Source organism: Homo sapiens, chromosome 6, assembly GCF_000001405.40.
Source record: "Homo sapiens chromosome 6, GRCh38.p14 Primary Assembly".
Classification (NCBI taxonomy): Eukaryota; Metazoa; Chordata; class Mammalia; order Primates; family Hominidae; genus Homo; species Homo sapiens.
Window position 1 is genome coordinate 111,506,175 of NC_000006.12, and position 19,595 is coordinate 111,525,769.

Below are 19,595 nucleotides of genomic sequence, written 5' to 3' on the forward strand. Positions count from 1 at the left end.
ATCTGACAATTATGTGTCTTGGGGTCGCTGTTCTCGAGGAGTATCTTTGTGGTATTTTCTGTATTTCCTGAATTTGACTGTTGGCCTGCCTTGGTAGGTTGGGGAAGTTCTCCTGGATAATATCCTGAAGAGTGTTTTCCAACTTGCTTCCATTCTCCCCGTCACTTTCAGGTACACCAATCAGACATAGATTTGGTCTTTTCATGTAAGTCCCATATTTTCTTGGAGGCTTTGTTCGTTTCATTTTACTCTTTTTTTCTCTAAACTTGTCTTCTTGCTTTATTTCAAATTAATTTGATCTTCAATCACTGATACCCTTTCTTCCACTTGATCGAATCGGCTATTGAAGCTTGTGCATGCATCACGAAGTTCTCGTGCCATGCTTTTCAGCTTCATCAGATCATTTAAGGTCTTCTCTACACTGTTTATTCTAGTTAGCCATTCGTTTAACCTTTTTTCAAGGTTTTTAGCTTCCTTGCGATGGGTTAGACCATGCTCCCTTAGCTCAGAGAAGTTTGTTACTACCGACCTTCTGAAGCCTATTTCTGTCAACTCATCAAAGTCATTCTCCATCCAGCTTTGTTCCATTGCTGGCGAGGAGCTGTGATCTTTTGGAGGAGAAGAGACGCTCCGGTTTTTAGAATTTTCAGCTTTTCTGCTCTGGTTTCTCCCCATCTTTGTGGTTTTATCTACCTTTGGTCTTTGATGTTGGTAACCTACAGATGGGGTTTTGGTGTAGATGTCCTTTTTGTTGATGTTGATGCTATTCCTTTCTGTTTGTTAGTTTTCCTTCTAACAGGTCCGTCAGCTGCAGGACTGTTGGAGTTTGCTGGAGGTCCACTCCAGACCCTGTTTGCCTGGGTATCACCAGCGGAGCCTGCAGAACAGCAAATATTGCTGCCTGATCCTTCTTCTGGAAGCTTCATCCCAGAGGGGCACCCACCTGTATGAGGTGTCTGTTGGCCCCTACTGCAGATGTCTCCCAGTTAGGCTACATGGGGGTCAGGGACCCACTTGAGGAGGCAGCCTGTCCGTTCTCAGAGTTCAAACACCATGCTGGGAGAACCACTGCTCTCTTCAGAGCTGTCAGACAGGGACATTTAAGTCTGCAGAAGTTTCTGCTGCCTTCTGTTTAGCTATGCCCTGCCCACAAAGGTGAAGTCTATAGAGGCAGTAGACAGTGCTGAGCTGCACTGGGCTCTGCCCAGTTGGAGCTTCCTGGCCGCTTTGTTTACCTACTCAAGCCTCAGTAATGGTGGACGCCCCTCCCCCAGCCAGGCTGCAGCCTCGCAGGTTGATCTCAGACTGCTGCGCTAGCAGTGAGCAAGGCTCTGTGGGCATGGGACCCACTGAGCCAGGCACAGGAGAAAATCTCCTGGTCTGCTGGTTGCTAAGACCGTGGGAAAAGTGCAGTATTAGGGCAGAAGTGTCCCATTTTTCCAGGTACAGTCTGTCACTGCTTCCCTTGGCTAGGAAAGGGAAATCCCCCAACCCCTTGCGCTTCCCAGGTGAGGTGATGCCCCGCCTTGCTTTGGCTTGCCCTCCGTGGGCTGCACCCACTGTCCAACCAGTCCCAATGAGATGAACCAGGTACCTCAGTTGGAAATGCGGAAATCACCTGTCTTCTGCGTCAGTCATGCTGGGAGCTGCAGATCGGAGCTGTTCCTATTTGGCCATCTTGGAACAGAAACCCCACTTGAAAGAATTTGTGTACATGAAAATTTTTAAAAATCCCTCCATTTCCTAATCTATGATAGAATATATTTCAAAAATTTGGTGGTAAGCCAATTTTTGGACCTACAAATGTGTTTTTCATAGAAACAATCTTAAAATGGCTACTAGGTTTTCAGGCCAGCTCTCCATAACTTATCTAATTCATAGTTTAGGGAAACTTACCCATCATTTTTAACATTGTTTCAATGAGAAAATGCCTCTTTTAAAAAAATTTTTTTCTGGCTGGGCACGGTGGCTAACGCCTGTAATCCCAGCACTTTGGGAGGCCAAGGTGGGCAGATCACCTGAGGTTGGGAGATTGAGACCAGCCTGACCAACATGCAGAAACCCCATCTCTACTAAAAATATAAAATTAGCCAGGCGTGGTGGCGCATGTCTGTAATCCCAGCTATTTGGGAGGCTGAGGCAGGAGAATCTCTTGAGCCCGGGAGGCGGATGTTGCTGTGAGCCGAGATCACGCCACTGCACTCTAGCCTGGGCAACAAGAGTGAAACTACGTCTCAAAAAAAAATTTTTTTTTCTTTTCTTTTTTTTTTTTAAATTAGACTCTCATTCTGTCGCCCAGGCTGGAGTGCAGTGGCACAATCATAACTCACTACAGCCTCTAACTCCTAGGCTCAAGTGATCCTCTTGCCTCAGCCTCCTGAGTAGCTAGGGCTACAGGTGCACACCACAATGCCTGGCTAATTTTTTAAAATTTTTTTTCTTTAATTCTTTTTTTAGAGGAGGGGTCTTGCTTTGTTACCCAGGTTGGTCTCAAACTCCTGGCCTCAAGTTTGCTTTTAGCCTCCCAAAGTGCTGGGATTATAGGTGTGAGCCACCACACTCGGCCAGAAAAATGCCTCTTTTGCAATTAGAATTCTAGGGAATACCACCACTCATCTTCCTCTCTGTTGAAAATGGGTAGTCGAGTTATCTTGTAATAGGGATTTTGTCTGTGATGGGTCCTTAGCTCTCTCAGCAAAAGTAGCAGGAACTCAGAGTAAACAGTCGGGGGACATAGTATACTTCATGTATACTCTTCCGAAATTATTCCTCTGCTAGGGGGAGTTGAGGAGTCAAGCTCTCCTGTAATAGGTATCTTGTCTGTGAGGGCTCCTTAGCTCTCAGCAAATGTAATGGGAACACTGAGTGTTGGGGGACAAGAGTCTACTCTCCCATACCATTCTGAAATTATTTACCACTTTCTCTGCTGACAGAGTTTGTTTGTGCTTTTTTTTTTAAGCTTATTTTTTAAAAGAACAGAAAGGAAACCTCCCTTTATAAAACAAATACTCTGTGATATACCTAAAGCTTATGTTTCATAGACTTTTTAAAAAGAGGGCTGATTGTCTTAAGTTACTGATATGGGGAAAAATTATTTTCACTGGCTAAGACATGTCTAAGGCATCAAGAAAAGATTCCTGAATGTTAAAACATAAAATTGGAATATAAGCATAGGTACTAAACTGCCAACTAGCTAAAATCAGGTTGTTGGAATAATGCTTATAGTAAACCTATAAGTAGTATAACCTTTTAGAGTATCTGGGAATGACAGATGGGAGCAGAGAGGAGTGCCAGTGCTTCTGTCTCACCAACCTACATTCTCTTCCAACTTACCTTACATTTGTACTCTTCCAAAATCCTTTTCTAAGCAAGATTATGGAGCCACAAAATGGTGCTAATGAATTTCTCCTCATTTTGTGTATGTATATATAAAATAAAAAGGTAATAGAGGAAGTGCTTTACTGACAAAAGGGGCAAAATTCAGAAAGAATGGAGTGGCTGAAAACAAGACCTGCTCAGAGGAACCCTAAATATTACAATGTTCTCTGACACCGAGCAGGTTACTTAACCTCCCAGGATAATCTGTAGAATGAGTGATTGAAATAAATCAGCCCTGTTCCTTCTAGCTCAAAAACGAAAGTTCCATATTGTGAATAGTTGTCCTAGATCCTGCAAGTCTTCAAGTGCTAATGTGGTGTGGCTCTTATCCTGTCAGCTAATATAGGCTCCAATCTTACATGTCCTCCAGAAAATGCATGTTCTTGTGAGTGACTTAACAGCAGGCCCCCAAAGCTAGTTAGTCTCATTTTTCAAAGACAGTAATGTCAGTACCCTTATATGGGAGAATTAGGCATACTTTGTGATGAGGCAACTGGAGTTCCCACAGAATGGCGTACTGCAGCTTCCCCACGTGGGATCCATGTTCCCGTTAGATAAAGAAGGGCCTACTGTGTGTCAGGTACCACACTAACTACTTTACATATGTTACTATATTCATTTATTATTCATTTATTCATTATTCTTCACAATAACCCTGAGAGGTAGGGGGATTGTCCTCATTTTACAGATGAGGAAATTTCCCAAGAACTAATTAGTTGGTGGTGGAGCTAGTGAATGGTAAAACTGATTTGAAACCTCTTATGAGGGGAATGAAACCAGGGATCCCTTCACTAAACCTGCCCATCAAACTAGCTAAGGGAAGGAAACCAAAAAGCCTTTTACTGCAGTTAGCTTTATACTCACCAACAATGACAAGCAACTGTGGCTCCTCTGCCTGTGGGACCTGGCCCCTGCAGCCAGCTCATGTGCCCAAGACTCCCCCTACCCCTAAATCCAGGGTAAGCATATTCCCCCTAGCCCTTCTGAAGTCTCAGGTGAATACCCCAGAACTTTCACAAGGCTTCCCACCTAGGAAACCTAGCCACCTCTAACCTAGAGGATGTAACTCTTAAGTTTGATATTAAGACCCTGCTCTAGTAGAATCCTTCAAAGCAGGAAGCCCTTCTGTGCTGTTTGTGGTGCTGAGAGGTGCCAGATAACATGCCACCCTGCCAACTCGTGTAACTCAGGGAAGAACCTACCTGAAGATGATAAGAGAAATGAAAATAAAGTCTTGAAGAACTACAATTGTCAGGTGATCCTGCAGAGGAGTCCCTGGCCCACAGGAGTTTTTTTCTACGTCAGTAACTTCAAAGATAGCTGTTAATACTTCTAGATCTCCGAATTCCTGACAGGAGATGAAAGAGCATCCAAGTTTAAGATTATCAGGCTCAGAAACTGCCAGAAATAACTTAGAACAGTTCTCAAAGTATGTTCCTGGGACAAGCAGCATTAGCCTCACCTGGGAACTTGTTGAAAATACAGACTCTTGGCCGGGCATGGTGGCTCACACCTGTAATCCCAGCACTTTGGGAGGCTGAGGCAGGCGGATCACGAGGTCAGGAGATCGAGATCATCCTGGCTAACACGGTGAAAACCCGTCTCTACTAAAAATACAAAAAATTAGCAGGGCATGGTGGCAGGCGCCTGTAGTCCCAGCTACTTGGGAGGCTGAGGCGGGAGAATGGCGTGAACCCAGGAGGCGGAGTTTGCAGTGAGTCAAGATCACGCCACTGCACTCCAGCCTGGGCAACAGAGCGAGACTCCATCTCAAATTATATATATACACACACACAGACTCTTGGACCCCATCCCAGACCTGCAGAATGAGAAGTGGAGCCCAGAAATCTGTGTTTCAACAAGATTCTGATGTATACTAAATTTTGAAAACAACTGTCCTAGGACTATGAATGATGATCGCAGGTTCCCTACATCAAATTGCAACAGCTTCCTGGGACTAGTCGACCGCCCCATCTCCAATATAGTGCCATTCTTAGAGATATGCAGCTCTCTCAACCAAGACTACTGCCTAGGACCTCATTTGTTTCCTTGAAAACTCCTAGGAAAATATTGGGAAAAATGGCAGATGATTGGTAATGATAGAATTGAGGTAAAAAAAATTAATTGTGTATGATGGGGGAATTGGAAGTAATTTATATGCCTATTTATAGGAGTTTGCCTAAAAGCAAATTCCATGAGGATTAGGACTAACACTGACCAACAGTATGTTCACTGTACTCTCATTATCTACTATAGTGTAAGTATTTAATATTTGTTGATTGAATGAATAAATGTACATATACATTTCAGTCCTGAAGTAAAATGCAGCCATTAAAAAAGATGTCTTCTATTAGCAGTCTCACTCATATGTATGTACTCAAAAACCTGAAATTCAATGTTTATATCAACTTTATTCATAACTACCAAAAACTGGAAACAACCCTATTGTCTATCAACTGGTAAACAGATCAACGAACATTCATATAATGTACATCCATAGAATAGAATACTACTGAGCAATAAAAAGGACCAAATTACAAATATATGCAGAAAACATGGATGAATTGCAGCAGCATTAGGCTGAGTGAAAGAAGCCAGGCTCAAAAAGCAAATGTATGATTCCATTTATGTAGCATTGTAGAAAAGGCAAAACTGGGCTGGGCCCAGTGGCTCACGCCTGTAATCCTAGCACTTTGTAGGGGGCCAAGGTGGGCAGATCACCTAAGGTCAGGAGTTTGAGACCAGCCTGGCCAACATGGTGAAACCCCATCTCTACTAAAAATACAAAAATTAGCTGGGCATGGTGGCACACCCCTGTAATCCCAGCTATTCTGGAGACTGAGGCAGGAGAATTGCTTGAGCCTGGGAGATGGAGGTTGCAGTGAGCCGAGATCGTGCCACTGCACTCCAGCCTGGCCGACAGAGTGAGACTCTGTCTCCAAAAAAAACCAAAAAAGGCAAAACTGTAGGGATTGAAAATAGTTCAGTGATTGCTGGAGAAGGAGCAAGTGCCTCTAAACTACAATCAGGCACAAAGACAGTTTGAGGGTGATGGACCTGTTCTATATCTTGATCGTGATGGTTGCATTATTGTATGCATTCATCAAAACTCATGGGACTGAATGCTAAAAAAGGTTAATTTTACTGTACATACTCAATATACAATATACTGTGTATACTCAATATACTTTTTTAAAAAGTATACTAACGTTTTTAAAAAATGATGTTGAATAAATGTACCTGATACATATGTAATAGAAAAGTCAAGTTAAATGTTTTTCTAAAAACAAAACAAATGTCATCCATATACATGTGTGTAAGTTCATGTGTATCTCTGGGTTATATAAATTTATTTAAATGCCTAGAACAAGATGTGAAAGAATATACTTCAAACTTATAATGGCAATTACCTCTAAGAAGGGACTAAATTTGGTGAAGTGATTTGAGACCTTAGTTTATGGGTTGCTGTTTGAATTATTTATAATATATTTCTGTATTGTATAATTAAGAAGTAAACAACATTTTAGAGAATAGAAGGATAAACACCAAAAATGTCAATAGTAGTTATCTCTGGCTGGTGGAGCTATAAATGTCTTTTATTTTATTTTTTTCTTTCTTTTTTTTTTGGTCTGAGACAGTGTCTGTTGCCCAGGCTGGAGTGCAGTGGTGCAATCTCAGCTCACTGCAGCCTCGACCTCCCAGGCTCAAGCTATCCTCCCACATCAGCTTCCTGAGTAGTTGGGACTAGAGGCCCATATCACCATGCCTGGCTAATTTTTTGTATTTTTTGTAGAGATGGGTTTTGCCATCTTGCCCAGGCTGGTCTTGAACTCCTGAGCGCAAGCGATCCACCTGCCTCGGCCTCCCAAAGTGCTGGGATTACAGGCGTGAGCCACCCTATCTGGCCTATTTTATTTTTGCTTATTTGTATTTTCTAATGTTTCTATAGTATGAACAAGTTATGCTTTTGTAACTAAAAAAAAAAAAGGTTATCTTAAAATACAGGGGTGAGGGACCCAGCAAGCATACACATATTAAAAGCTTGTACATATTAGAAATGTAGACGTTACAAAAATATTCAAGACAAAGTTTCACTGAAAAAGAATTTGAGAAAAAGAATTTGAATACTCCTAGAATAGTGCTTCTCAAACATGATGTCCATACAAATCACCTGGAGTGCTTGTTGAAATGCATATTATGATTCCAAGGATTTGCATTTCTGACAAGCTTCCTCTTGATTCCAGTGCTACTGGTCCATGGACCACACTGAATATCAAGGCTTTAAAACTGTGCTCTCAATACAGCAGCCACTAACTAGCCACGTAAGGCTGTTAAGCACTTGAAATGTGGCTAGTCCAAATTGAGATATACTGTTAAGTGTAAATACACATTGGATTTTGAAGACAATTTTTATAAAAGAATAACATCTTAATCATTGTTTTATACTAATTACATATTGAAACTATTTTGGACACATTGTGTTAAATAGATATTAAAATTAATTTCACCCTTTTTTTACTATTTTAATGTAGTTAAAATAGATTTTAACTACATTTAATAATGTAATTTTAATAATGTAAAGATTTAAATAATGTAATTTAATGTAGTTACTAGAAAATTTTAAATTTTATTTGTGGTTTGTATTTTTGGCTTGTATCATATTGCTATTGGACAGCACTGGTCTAGAATAACTGTTAATAGGATTTTACTTGTATTAGCTTCACATTGGGTCTTAAATCAACAGCGTAATGCAGGAAAAGGATTAGCACCCCATTAAAGACCAAATTGACAACTTCTGTGTATTAATATGAACATACCTAGGAATTCTCAAAATTTATAGGTAGAAGTTGAGACAAATAGAAATAATAGAATTTTGACCTGGAAAGGAACTTTGATGTCATCAAGTTCAAACCCCTTGTCTTACAGAATTATTTATCAACCTGGCAAAGATATATTTGGTACTTAAGGCATTCTAGGTAAGTATTGAATAGGTATGTCTGTGATAGGTGAGTAAGGTGAGATGCCTACCCTGGAGAAGCTAAGAAGGATTGTATTAGACTGTAACAGCACTTACTAGGCATGCTGACAGGAGTGCTCTCAAACACAGAGGCAGAGGCAAATACGGGCTCAAATTTTTGTTTTGTTTTGTTTTGAGACAGAGTCTCACTTTGTCGCCCAGGCTGGAGTGCAGTGACACGATCTCTGCTCACTGCAACCCTTCGCTTCCTGGATTGAAGCGATTCTCCTGCCCCACCCTCCCAAGTAGCTGGGATTATAGGCACCCATCACCACACCTGGCTAATTTTTGTATTTTTAGTAGAAATGGGGTTTCTCCATGTTGGCCGGGCTGGTCTCAAATTCCTGACCTCAAGTGATCCCCCCAACTTGGCTGGATTACAGGCGTGAGCCACCATGCCTGGCCAGACTAAATTTTTTTTTAGGAAGAATCAGAGACGCTCCAGCACTTTGGGAGGCCAAGGCAGGCGGATCACGAGGTCAGGAGATGGAGACCATCTTGGCTAACAAGGTGAAACCCCGTCTCTACTAAAAATACAAAAAATTAGCTGGGCGTGGTGGCGGGCACCTGTAGTCCCAGCTACTAGGGAGGCTGAGGCAGGAGAATTGCTGGAACCTGTGAGGTGGAGGTTGCAGTGAGCCGAGATCATGCCATTGCACTCCAGCCTGGGCGACAGAGCGAGACTCCATCTCAAAAAAAAAAAAAAAAAAAAAGAATCAGAGAAGCTCCACTCAAGGAAACTTTAAGTTTCCCCAGGCTTTATAGCTTCTGTTTTAAATTAATGGTACAAATAAGGCTTTAGGATTAATTATTTACTTAAAAATCAATGTAGAACATGCTGTTCCGTGTCTTTTCCCACACAAAATAGATATGTCCTCTATTATCAGAGGGCAAAGAAATTTAGACCTGAGACACTTTGAAAGTTTGAACAGGGTTGATGGTACAGATGGTACCAGAATGAAATTTGGAGTGTAGCAGTAGCATAGTCAACCTTCAATTATATGTGCAAATGAGGGACAAGAATTGCTGAGATGATTAAAAGCATGAATAAAACAAAACGCTTATTTTAGCTATTATTTTAAAAGACTTATTCATCAGGAATATCTTATACCAGAGGCTTTATGACAGAAATTTGTTCTTGAGTTACATTTCCCTTCTGTGAAAGATTGAAAAGACAAATTTGGGATAAATAATAAAGAATGTGATTATGAAAATTCTTATTACTTTGAGGTAGAATGGGCTGAAAATATGAATAGCCCTTTTATTTATTTTTTTTTTTAGTTAAAATCTGGGTCCCCCTCATAATATTTCATTCATTTATAATATATTAGTAAAGGGATCCAGGTTTCTTTGGTATGTATTCTTTTTTTCTTTTCCTTTTTCTTTTTTTTTTTTTTTCTGAGACAGTCTTGCTGTTGCCCAGGCTGGAGTACAATGGTGCCATCTCAGCTCACTGCAATCCACCTCCAGGGTTCAAGTGATTCTCCTGCCTCAGCTTCCCAAGTAGCTGGGATTACAGGCACACCACCACACCTGGCTAATTTTTGTATTTTTAGTAGAGACAGGTTTTCGCCATGTTGGCCAGGTTGGTCTCAAACTCCTGGCCTCAAGTGATCTGCCTGCCTCAGCCTCCCAGAGTCCTGGGATTATAGGCATGAGCCACTGTGCCCGGCCTGGCATGTATTCTTAACTTGTAGGGAAATTACTTCAGAGCACAAGCCTCGCTCATTACATGTACAGACTCCTGGCCCTCGTGATCATGGAATGGCCCTAATTTGAACATTTGTATTATTCACTCTCAGCCAATATTTAAAAAATTATCTAGATTTGAGAACAGTCAAACCTACCTGAGAATGGCATCATGGACTTTGTCCAAGAGTGAAAACTGCCTACAGCCATTCAAAACCAAAATTTGAACTAAGCAGAATAAATGGTTCTACCTAAGAATTATAACATTTTCCTCTGTTCTTAAGAGGAATCAGAACAGCATTTTTAAACTTTTAAATGTTTTCTAGGAACCAGTGACTTAGTTTGGTTAATTTTGCTTCATTCATACCAAAAAAAAAAGAGGGTATTGAGTCTTTGGTTGGTTTTGAATATTCCCAAGGATTATTTTTTGACATCTCGTTCCCATACATGAACAGTAGTTACTTATGGGAAGTGGCCTAATTTTCTTAAATAATAATCTACCATAACACACACACACACACACACACACACACAGAAAAAAATCATTACTTTATTGTTAAAAATGTGTCAGTTGTAAAGATACCTGTCCTTTGAATCAGCATGTTGGGAGGTGCAGGAGATTCCTGCCTTTGAACACCTGCCTAAAGATTCCATAACAAGGGGATTTGGTATGATGAGATATATGCAAAAGGTTTGGATTCTGGAAAAATATATACAAGTCTTTTTCCAGGGGGGGAAAATACACACACACACACACACACACACCCCTAAGGAGTCCAGTGTAATTTTGTTTCTCAAATTCCTGTTTCTCAAATACAAAGTTTTAGGAGAATAAGACAATTTAGGAAAATCAACACATTATTCATGTCCCGTAAAACACCAAGATTGTTTTTCTATTTTCCTGAGTTATATCAATAGAAAAAACATAAAATGATAATTAGTCTCCCTGTCACTTCATCAGAGTTTTATAGATTAGTAATTTTCATGTATAGCACATTTATGATATAACTTATACCCTTATTTATTGGAGATGATTTTATTAGATGATACCTGCAGACTATGGAAAAAAAAATCTTTTCTAAGCTTTCTATATGAGGTGGTCATTAGAATGCTTCATGGGATTTTTGAAAACATTTCTAATATTCCAGCCTCTGACAATAAGCACTTTTTCCTCTATGACATTAATTTACTCCTTAAAGTTTTCTCTTCAGCTATAATCTTAAGGTAAATGGGAAATAGACATAAGTGCATTTAAATTTATAATGCACTGATTCTCTTGTGAAGGTAGTCTTGTAATGAGGAAGGAATTCAAAACAGAACTTGTTTGCAGCTCTGCAAATGTGCAAGAAAGCTACAAACCTGCCAATATTCCATTCACATTTAGCTACACATTTCTGAGACACATCTATCTTTACTAGAGGGCAGGATTTGCTATCTCTCTGGAGTAGCATATGCATAATAAAGATGGACAGAGATTGATAATTACTTGCATCAAAATGATGCTTTCTTTGTGTACCTAAATTTAGGAACAAAATGTTAGAAAATTGTTTCAAAAGTGCCTAGGTTAAAAATACCAACTATATCAAACCTAATCTACTTATTCTCCTGCTCTCCTCATCCACCGCTTCATACCTTCTCATCCTCAAGCCACAAGTACTTTTTCTCCTATCTTCCTTTGCAGTGTTACTTACTATTTCCCTGAGAAATAGAAGTAATCAGAGGACTTCCACAGACCACCTCCCCCCACCACCATATAGAGTCACCTACTTGTAACTGTGCCTTGTATTCTCTGTCTTCCATCTGTTCTTATGAATGAAATGTTCCGAGCTGTATCCTTGCAACTTGTGCACTAGATCCCATTCCTTCCCCTACTCAAAGAGTGATTCAGCAACTTTCTCCTCTCCCCTGCAGCATCACTCCCACCCTCTCTATTGGGTCATTCCCACAACCAGCTTGGTGGAAGCAACAATCAGCCCGCTCCCGGATTCTTGCAGTAGCCTCCTACCTGGTCTCCTTTTAGCCCCTGCTCCCTTTCACTTTATTTTCATCGCAATAGCCAGAATGATTCCATTAAAATCCACTCTTGCTCAGAACCCTCCAGAGGCTTCTCATTCACTAAGTATAAAAGTTAAAATCTCTAAAGAAAAAAAAAAAAATCCAACCCTACTTGGTCTTCCCTGCCCTCTACCTCTTCTTACTTCTCTAACCTAATATCTTACTCCTCTCCCTCAGCTCTTTCTGCACCAGCCACACTGATTTTATTTTTCCTAGAACACCCTGGCTAGAACTTCCATCTAGCCCCAGATTTTCTAGTTTCCTAGAACCCCCACTGCTTGCCCTAGATTTTCATCTAGCTTGTTCCCTTTCCCTTTTTTGACCTTTCATCTTTCATATCATCAGTGAGGCCTTTCCTGCCCACTCATTAGAAGTATAACTGCCCCCACCTCCCCTACTCTATTTTTCTCAGTTACACTTGTCTCCATGTTGTGAAATACCATATATTTTTACTTGTTAATTGTTGTCTATAGTCTGTCACCCCCCTCAACCCTACCCCAGGTAAGGTGCTTGAGTGGTTGGGATTTTTTTTTCCTTTTTACTCCCCTCCCATATTACTGGTGTATTCCTAGAACATAGTAGGTACTTACCAATATTTGTTGAAAGAATGAATCTATAATAGAGTATAATTGGAAAATGACTTAGGAGTATCAGTCATGCAGACTGAATTTTTTTAAATCTGTTTCACCAATTCTGTTTTTGTTTGTTTGTTTGTTTGTTTTATTTTGAAGATAGGGTCTCACTCTGTTGCCCAGGCTGGAGTGCAGTGGTGTGATCTCGGCTCACTGCAACCTCCACCTCCCAGGTTCAGACGATTCTCCTGTCTCAGCCCCCCAGGTGGCTGGGACTATAGGCATGCACCATCACTCCCAGCTAATTTTTGTACTTTTGGTAGAGACAGGTTTTTCCCATGTTGTCCAGGTTGGTCTTGAACTCCTAGCCTCAAGTGATCTGCCTTCCAAACTGCTGGGATTACAGGCATGAGCCACCACACCGGACTCAATTCTGCTTTATAAACATAATTTAAATACGGTTTTAGCTTCAGGTGAGTCACTATAGGCATTCGTCTTTCTAGAAATTGTGGGACTCTCCCTCTTATATGCAGTTGACCCTTGAACAACACGTTTAACTATGTGGGTCCACTTACACGCAAAATTTTTTTTTTTTTTAAGAGACAAGGTCTCCCTCTTGTTACACAGGCTGGAGTACAGTGGTGCCATCATAGCTCACTGCAGCCTCGATCTCCTGGGCTCAAGGGATCCTCCTGCCTCAGCCTCCTGAGTAGCTGGGACTACAGGTTCACGCCACCATGCCCAGCTAATTTTTTCTTTTTTATTTTGTAGAGATAGTGTCTTGCTATGTTGCCCAAACTGGTCTCAAACTCTTGGCCTCAAGCGATCCTCCTGCCTTGTCCTCCCCAAGTGCTGGGATTTACACACATGCACCATGATGCCCAGCCCACAGATTTTTTTTTTCAATAAATACTTCGGAAATTTCTTTGGAGATTTTTGACAATTTGAAAAAACTTGCAGGTAAATGTGTAACCTAGAAATATTGAAGAAATTAAGAAAAAGGTGTGTTATGAATGCATAAAATATATGTACATACTAGTCTATTTTATAATTTACTAACATAAAATATATACAAGTCCACTATAAAATTTAAAATTTATCAAACCTTACACCCAGACCATACTATGGAAGATTCCTAGTGGAAGGAAATGGAAATAAACAGTATTAAGTCATAACTGCGTAAAATTAACTGTACTAGTGTAATAGTTTTGTAGCAACCTCCTGTTGCTGTTGCAGTGAGCTTAAGTGTTGGGAGTATCCATTTAAAATTCTATGTGATGCTAATCAATCATCTCTGAGTGAACAGTTCGCCTCCAGTAAATTGCATATCTCAGTAAAAAGTGATCTCTAGGGGTTCTCGAGTATTTTTTTTTTATCTTGTTTAGTTCAATGCTATAAACCTTGGATGTATGGGACCATGGGGCCCATATGAAGTGCCACCAGTGATGCTAGAAATGCTCCCAATAAGCAGAGAAAAGTCAAGACATTACCAGAAAAGGTTGAATTCCTTGATATGCACCATAGATTGAGGTCTGCAGCTGCAATTGCCTGCCATTTCTAGATGAATGAATTCAGCCTAAAGACCACTGTAAAAAGACACAGTGGCTCATGACTGTAATCCCATGCTTTGGAAGGCTGAGGTGGGAGGATCACTTGAGTCCAGGAGTTCAAGACCAGCCTGAGCAACATAGCAAGACTCCTGTCTCTATGGAAAATAAAATAAAATAAGTCTCATGTTAAAAAAAAAAAAAAAAAAGCCAAGCATGGAGGTGTGCTTGTAGTACTTGTAGTTCAGGAGGCTGTGCTGCAGTGAACTGTGATTGCACCACTGCACTCCAGCCTGGGCAACAGCAAGATCCTGTCTCTTAAATAAAAGAAAAGGGAACTTGGGAAGGCATTGCTGCAGCTATGCCAGTGGGCATGAAAACTTTACACTTTTTGCAAAATACAAAATATGTATTAATGGACTGTTTATGTTATGGGTAAAGCTTCAGGTCAATGGTAGACTATTAGTAGTTAAGTTTCAGGAGAATCAAAAGTTATATGCAGATTTTCAGCTGCATGGTGTGGGGACCCCCCCCCCCCGCCGCCCGCATTGTTCAAGGGTCAACTGTACTTTAAAAGAAGTATACCATGAGAAAAGTATGTATTTTAATACTTTTTGAACTTTTATACTTTCAATACATTGCTGTTAAAAATTACTTTAGTTCAATGTAGACATTCAGATATTTATAGTTATTCTTCTTATGGTCCCTATTCAGAGATGATCTGCTATAAATTTCCCTCTAAGTGCTGTTTTAACTGCATTACACACATTTTGATATGTTGTCTTTTCATTATCATTCAATTCAAAATATTTTTCTATAATTTTCATTGCAATTTCTTTAGTTATTTTAAGTTGCTTAATTTCCAAATATTTGGGAATTTTGCAGATATATTTTCTATTGATTTCTAATTTAATTTTAATTTTATTTTATACTCAGAACCCATGTTTTTATAATGCCAATTCTTTTAAATTTTTTGAAACTTGCTCAGTGGCAACTAACACTCTGACAACTGCCAGATACACATTTTTTTTCCCAGTGCACATGAAACATTCATCAAGAAAGACCATTGTCTTTTCATGTTTTCCATTATATCTTGAACATATTTATACTAGCTATTCTAAGGCTTTTCCTATTCCGTCATCTTTGTCAATTCTGAGTCTGTTTTTACTGACTAATGTTATCCTAGTTATGGGGTATGTTTCCTTGCTACTTTTTATGTCTAATAATTTTTTACTGGTGTTGGACATTGTGATTACCATGTAGTTGTGTGTCTGTATTTTATCTTGTTTCCAAGAACATTCAGTTCCAGCAGATAGTTGAAGGTCAACTTGATCCTTTGAAGCTTGTTTTATGCTTTCTTAAGATGGTTTTAAAGCAGAAGATGACAACGTTTTTATTTAACGAGCCAGATAGTATTTTAGCTTCTACAGTTTCTTTTGCGTATTTGTGTGTACAACACCTTAAAAATGTAAAAAACATCTTTTGCTTGTGACCCATACAAAACCAGGCTGTGGGTTGGATTTGGCCTGTGGGCTGGAGCCACCAATTGCTGTTCTAAAGAATTCTTTAGGGCTACTTTAGCCATACTTTTGTTATTAAATACTCCTCTGTCGAGTCAGAGACTATTCAGGGTCTGAGATTTTACCCTACTTTGAAGCCAGTAAATGAGCTTGCCACAGTTTAACAGATGCTGGCAGAAGACATGAGACTCCTAGGTCAGAAACAGACAACCTTATTATTCACAGTACAGCAAATAGCATGGGCTTTATGTTCTCTTGGTTTTCCTTGTTCTCCAAACCAAGACAATGAGGACAATGTGAGTGGGTCCAGGTAAATGCTACACATACAGTTGGTCTGTGTCACATCTGAGGAGCCCCAAGCTTAGGAAACCCCTAATCTTATAAGGTAACCGCTAGTAAATCTGCCACACTTTGTCCTGGAAGAAGCCATTCACTTTATTTTTCTGGTCAGGAAACAAATCTGTCCTCTGTGCTGGAGGGTGACACTATGCCTTCCAAAGGTGTTGGCTAGACAAACATCCTTTGAAAGATAGTCTAGGTCAAAATTTGTCACAAGACACACAGAAATGCCGTGGAGAATTGTTGCTTAGCACCCACATGTTCAAGAGGCATTTCCACTGGTTGTAACTCAAATGCTTGTCAGCCCTGTGAAAGTGTTGCTGAGGTCTCAGTGCCCCAGTAGTTCTTCCTCTGAGAGTTGTTCTAATAGTTGTTCTCTGCCTGGCCTTACATAGTCCCATTTTATGGATGTACATCTTAGTATTCACGTAGACTCAAGATGATTTTTATGCAGATTTCTGGAGCTCTGTCTCTTGACAGCTTTCTCTTCTCTTGTGGTGCTCTCTTTCTCAAATTGTGGTTGCCCTCCTAAGTTCCTGTCTCTCTCTTAAGCCCAGCAAAACCACTGTACTCTGCTTAGGTTCTCCTTCTTTGTATATCAGTCGATAGAGTGCCTCCAGGCAGAAGGCTGGAACTCAGTTCATTTTTCTTTCCCAAGGGATCACAGTCCTCCTGTACTACCTGTTGTTCAGATTTTCAAAGCGGTTACTTTATATATTTTGTCTACTTTTACTATTTTTTATAGCAGATGCTAGTCCCATATTAGTTACTCCATCATTGATTCTTTTGTTTGTTTGTTTGTTTGTTTGTTTTTTAAACAGAGTCTGGCTGTCACCAGGCTGGAGTGCAGTGGCGAGATCTCGGCTCACTGAAACCTCCGCCTCCTAGGTTCAAGCGACTCTCCTGCCTCAGCCTCCCTAGTAGCTGGGACTACAGGCATGTGCCACCACGCCCAGCTAATTTTTGTATTTTTAGTAGAGATGGTGTTTCACCACGATGTCCAGGATGGTCTCAATCTCCTGGCCTCATGATCCGCCTGCCTTGGCCTCGCAAAGTGCTGGGATTACAGGCGTGAGCCACCGTGCCCGGCCTGATTCTGTCTTTTTAGCATTTACTTCTTTATAAGTTTTAGGATTTTGATTAGCATAATCACTTTGAGTGGGAGATATTTTTGTTGTCACCCTTTCTTGGCCTGTCTCCAAGTTTGATGAATATTTCTATCTGCCCTTTTCCTCATTCCATATCCCAGTCCAGAGCCAGTTCTTAAAATGGCTTTAGAGGGCTCCTACTCCTTACTGATATCCGGAATATGGCCAATTCAGTAACTGAACCAGCTGTTAGCTCAGCTCAGTTGCTGTAGTGATGTTTTTCTTTTGTCATTTTGCCCTCTTGGGTCCAAAGCTTCCCATAAATGCACAGCCCCAGGCAGAATCAGAAGCAGTTTAATTTAGCCTCCTTTCATGAGACTGGGGAAAACCAGGTGACAAACCACTGTTTGCCTGGAACTAAAGGGTTTCTTGGGATTTGGGATGATCAGTGCTAAAACAGGAAGAGTCCTAGGAAAACCAGGAAGGCTGATCACCTCAGTCATGCCCCAGTTTCTGGCTTCCAGTAACATGGCTGGCATTGGTCTTCATCTTTAGCAGAGCATTTTAGTCTGTGTATTCCACAAGAGCTGAGTTTCCAGTTGCCACTAGCTGCCTCAAGACCCAGACCCTGATCGACTACAGCTCTAGCCCAGCTTACTGCTTTGCATTTCTATTGTGTTTCTGGTCCACAAAGATGTTAGTTTTGTTTTTTAAACCCAACAATGGCCTTTTAGTTTTCTTTTTTTCTGTTTTATCTCTCATTACCATGTGTTTAGAGCATATAAGATAAGCTGAAACATGAATTTACTGTGCCACCTTGTTTGGAAATTCTACTGATTCTTTTTCAATTTGATATTGTCTTGGCTTAGGAAATAATGTAATTTAACTGCCTGCTTTATTGAGAAACGCTCCCAACTCTCCCTCTCATTTTGAGGGATCTCAAATCACAGAAATTCAGGTGAAATATTGTCATTTTCCATATAGTGGTTTAATTGTTTCTTTGAGGGCATCGTAACTCAGTGCTGGAGTTAGAATAGAACAGGGATAGTATCCCAGCTTTGCTCCCTCCTACATCTGGTTGATGAGAATGGTATCAGACAGTGCTTTGTGTCCCCACCTCCTCCCCATCTCTGCTTCGAGCTGCTCTCTCTCCTTTTCCTATTCCTCCATGGGCCCTTTTTTTATGCAACCTTCAATCTGTTATTGGAGAATACGTGGATTTTCAGACCCTTTGTCATAACTTGGTAGCCTTTCCAGAGTGTTACTGCCTCTGAACTTGGGCAAGAGGAGGAAGAAAAGCCTTCCTACTTGTTTATTTGCCTCGAACTATGCTCTATGTTCTTTTAGATGCAAATATTTTAAAAAACAATTTTCAATCTTTTGCTCTTTCATGCTGTTGCCAATAACAATCTAGGGAACTGTCAGTGAACTGCATTGTGATTTACACTAGGCATTTAAAATATTTCCAATGGATTAAAGAGTTTTTGAACATAGGGGGTTTCACATTTCAAGCCCAAATACCTAAATATAATTGCACACTATGCTCCTGTCAGTATACTTGCTGGAGCAAAGTAGTTCACAGCAACCAGCTTAGCTCTACTTAGAAAAGACTTGCTTAGGAATAATTGAAGTGGTAGAAATGTGTATGTGGTCATCCTCATTGAGACATTTAGAAACTGGTATTGCATATGGTGTCATCCTCTTTAAGCCACTCTGTTTTTAACAAAAATGAAATAAATATGTGAGTTTACAGCTCACATGAAGGAATTAAACATTTTCTGGGAGGTAATTTAATAAAAATCAGATGATTCAAGAAATGGTTACCTTCATGTTTTGTTTATTTGTTTGTTTTGTTAAAGAAACTAGTTGGAAAAATGCTTTGTTCGGATATCTTAAAATAACTCCATAGGTAGCTGTTCTGTGATTGCCGACTTGGGGTGTGGAAAAGTTACAAAATGAAATAGAGAGCTATTATTTAGCAATTAAGAACACACTTTGCTTCTTTAACTGGGATTAAGTACTTCTGGAGCAAGTTTTGTGCTAACATTAGACATTGAGGTTGGTCCAATAGCTGCACAAGTTATTCTTTAGAAACTGTAGTCTGTTAGTTCAAATCAGGACACCGCAGTGTGAATATAAATCACTTATGCCACATTCTTACGAGGTCATTAAACCATAATTGTCACAATTTCTTTAGAATTACCAAAGCAAGAATTTCCTCTGTGTAACGTTTGAGCTTTATTTTTTTTTCTTTTTGTTTTTCTTTCATGTATTGGAAGACTCTTTTAAAATGATATTTAGCCAGGCGCGGTGGCTCACGCCTGTAATCCCAGCACTGTGGGAGGCCGAGGCGGGTGGGATCACGAGGTCAGGAGATCGAGACCACAGTG

The 19,595-nt window shown here is 40.2% G+C and overlaps 1 non-coding gene across 3 annotated transcripts in view, besides 3 other annotated features; it reads left to right on the forward strand.

Moving 5' to 3' along the window:
• TRAF3IP2-AS1 (TRAF3IP2 antisense RNA 1) overlaps positions 1-19,595 on the forward strand; it is a 118,824-nt gene that overhangs the window by 22,703 nt on the left and 76,526 nt on the right. The gene's annotated exons all lie outside the window — the stretch shown is intronic.
• Positions 770-1,293: an enhancer, noted in NCBI's record as "H3K27ac-H3K4me1 hESC enhancer chr6:111828147-111828670 (GRCh37/hg19 assembly coordinates)". NCBI's record gives its function as "activates a minimal SCP1, AML or CMV promoter by ChIP-STARR-seq in naive H9 embryonic stem cells {active_cell/tissue: H9 hESC(naive)}" and the evidence as "EXISTENCE:reporter gene assay evidence [ECO:0000049][PMID:30033119]".
• Positions 1,294-1,816: an enhancer, noted in NCBI's record as "H3K27ac-H3K4me1 hESC enhancer chr6:111828671-111829193 (GRCh37/hg19 assembly coordinates)". NCBI's record gives its function as "activates a minimal SCP1, AML or CMV promoter by ChIP-STARR-seq in naive H9 embryonic stem cells {active_cell/tissue: H9 hESC(naive)}" and the evidence as "EXISTENCE:reporter gene assay evidence [ECO:0000049][PMID:30033119]".
• Positions 18,111-18,280: an enhancer, noted in NCBI's record as "experimental_87727 CRE fragment used in MPRA reporter constructs". NCBI's record gives its function as "activates a minimal promoter by MPRAs in K562 erythroleukemia cells, with activity observed for the non-introgressed 6:111845573 variant allele {active_cell/tissue: K562}" and the evidence as "EXISTENCE:reporter gene assay evidence [ECO:0000049][PMID:34662402]".